The sequence below is a fragment of the Homo sapiens genome, chromosome 15, assembly GCF_000001405.40.
Source record: "Homo sapiens chromosome 15, GRCh38.p14 Primary Assembly".
Taxonomy (NCBI): domain Eukaryota; kingdom Metazoa; phylum Chordata; class Mammalia; order Primates; family Hominidae; genus Homo; species Homo sapiens.
Window position 1 is genome coordinate 34,680,266 of NC_000015.10, and position 3,155 is coordinate 34,683,420.

Sequence of the window (3,155 nt, forward strand, 5' to 3'; positions counted from 1 at the left end):
TGAGGAAGGGAAGAAGGAAAAAGGAAAGAAGGGAAGAAGAACTGAGGAAAAGTGCTCTGCCCAAGAACCCCTCTGCTGTTGCAGGATCTCCTTTTGCATCTCCACTTCCACCACAGACCTTCTCCCACTGTAAAAAGAAAGGCACACAGCTAACCATTGTCAACCCTAGCAAGGCCCATTGCTCTAGGGAGCAAAAACAGATTCAAACAAGAAACACATCATTCCTGAGATAGAGCCTGAAAGAAAGCCAAGAAAGGCTGGCTGAGGAATATTGAAGAAGGTGGCAGCTTCACGCCATCCTGGTGGCACACCGTTTTCTCTCGAATTCTTTCTCTTTCTCACAATTGGGAAACAGACGGAGAAGATTGTCAAGAAGAAATGTATATTCAATAATTTATTTGAATTTTTTAAACTACTTTTACTCTGACATAAAATAGTCCTGATTTCCATATTAGTTTGACAGTGAAGATTTGGTTTGTCAATTAGATTATATGGTGGATATTTTCAGTACATTGAATGTACTTAATCTTTAGCTTCTAGGTTTTGATGAAAAGATCTTGAAAGCACATGCACCATATGCGGTATGACGGAAACCACATGCTTTGCAACTGGAAAGGTGCGTTCAAACTTGTAAATTTAAAAGTTATAGGAGGCCAGGCTTGGTGGCTCAGGACTGTAATCCCAGCATTTTGGGAGGCCAGGCAGGCGGATCGCTTGAGCCCAGGAGTTGACACTAGCCTGGGCAGCATAGGAAGATCCTCAATCTCAAAAAAAAAAAAAAAAAAAAATTAGCCAGGCATGGTGGTGCATGCCTGTAGACCTAGCTGCTCAGGAGGCTGAGGTAGGAGGACTGCTGAAAAAAAAAGAAAAGAAAAGAAAAATAAGTTACAGGGATCAGGGGCATACAGTTTTTCATCATTCTTTTGGTAGGTACATGAGGAAAACATCTTGACACCCTGCCTTAGGCTTTGTTGCCTGTTAGGATATTTCTGTTATTTTAAGGCTACCCTTATTGATCATTTCAATAGCCTGATAAAGGGACTGGAGAGATGCCTCTTGGATGAGACATCTCTGAGGAGCATCTCAATTGTGACAAAAAGCATTTCTTCATAAGTGTTTGATTTTGATATTTAGAAGCAAGTTATGGAAGTAAAAGGATGCCAGCAATAGCTTCCCTCTCTCTAGGGGTAATGCCACTTAGTTGTGTATGTCAGGAGTTGCAGTAGTCCTGTGCCCAGGTGTTAGTCCTTTTCATTTCTTCTGACTGCATGATGAAGAGATTTAGAACAAAGATGTTATGTAACAGTAAAGGATTGTTTTGTTGAAGGGCTACTTGCTCCTTACCTGGTTGGTCTTACACCGAATGCACCCCTTTTCTGGCCCTAAGGCTGGGATTCCACCAGGAAAACAACATATATCCACATCACATAGGGCACATTTCATTTCTAGTACTGCTGGATATCTACAGGATGCCACCTACACACGAAAACCTATGGGATATTTTATAAGTTTGAAGCCAGCATACTTTCTGAACCTCAAATACCAGCAGTCAATGAAACAGAAGGTTCTGTGTCCTTGTGTGCTCAGATAGTCACTGGGTTTTCATGAAGTTTCTCTGAACACTTATTGCCCTGGCTCTGCCTGATCTTGGTGAGGACACCAAAAGCACATTGATTATCAATGCCATTAAGGAATTCATTAGCAAAGGGTCAAGCTTAAAGTAAGAAGGTCCCAATATGGATTCTTGGCTAATATGACTCAAACGCAACTTTTGCAATTTCTCATCATTCAACATGTTCCTCCAACAGGATTCAGTCCTAATGAGTTATTGATGGAAGAGAAAAATCCTACTACAGTGGAAAAAATGGGAGTTTTGGAGTCAGACAGGCTTTGGTTAAAACCTTGGTTATTAAATATCTTTGGATTTTAATTTTCTTCTTTTTAAAGAGAAAATGATTATCAGCATAGTTGTTCTGGGGGTTAGAGAAGTTATAAGTATTTGGTCTAGTGCTTGATGCATAGCAGAGGATCAATAAATAACTGTTACTACCCTTGTATTAATAATTATCATCAATATAACAATAACTATCATAAAAATAACCATAGATGAAATGTCAAGATTTGTTTAACCATGTTGAGAACTAGAAGAGAAGCATTATTGTGATAAGCAATAAAGAGAAATAAGATTATGGAGAAAGTCATACTGACTGATTTTCATTCCCCATTTTATTCTTTTTATTCCCCATTTCAACACGTATCACATTTACTGAGAAAAGAAACCATCATTCAAAAATAAAGCCCAGAGGGCCAATTACCCAAGGAGAGCTCATGCCCAAATCATGTCTGGCCGGGGAAGAGAATAAAATTTTAACATGCATTCCCAGGGGCCAAAAGCTGATCTCTCCTCCTACCACTGGGTAAGATGATAAAGGTATGGAACAGCAGGTGAATGTGTATTTGTTCTCCAGGGGAAAGCGAGTCAAAAAGGAAGCAGAAACAGTCTACGAATGAAATTTCTCATTTCCCTTAGGGTGAGCTCAGAACTGGGCACATTCCTCATTGAACACTCACCTCTCATCGGGGATCAACATGTTCAGATGTGCCATACCCAGGATGATTCATCGTGATCAAAGAAAACAATGTGATTGTGGTAAATCCCTTTATCAGTGTAGCTTATTATTACTACCAAGAACTTGAATTGATTCAAGCTACAGACTTGAATAAACCTCATGATTTAGTAAAATAAACCTCACTGATTTTCCGAAGTCTCCAGTGAATTAAACCAAAGCAAAGTTGTCCATTCAGATCCCTGCCCCCACATAAATAAACTTGGTACACCATTTTGAATCTACCTTTTAACTTATTAAGGAAATCTAAAATCAGATCACTATATTTTCTAAAGGACATCCAAACAAAATTAACTTAAATTACTACAAAGATGTAGTAAATATATTGGTAGTCTCAGTGTGGTGCTGGTAAATGTTTAATACCTGGCTCACTGGGGAAAAAAGTATATATTACACATATATACATATATATGTATATATAATTTTATATGCCATATATGGTATATATACTAATATATATTAGCATTTATATATAAGATATGAATTTAACTGATACAAAGGACATGCAACATATAATTTATGAATAAT

General features: G+C 38.0%; 1 annotated feature.

Moving 5' to 3' along the window:
• Positions 1,746–2,945: an enhancer, noted in NCBI's record as "MED14-independent group 3 enhancer chr15:34974212-34975411 (GRCh37/hg19 assembly coordinates)". NCBI's record gives its function as "activates an origin of replication core promoter dependent on BRD2, BRD4, P300/CBP and CDK7 cofactors, and independent of MED14, by STARR-seq in HCT116 cells {active_cell/tissue: HCT116}" and the evidence as "EXISTENCE:reporter gene assay evidence [ECO:0000049][PMID:35650434]".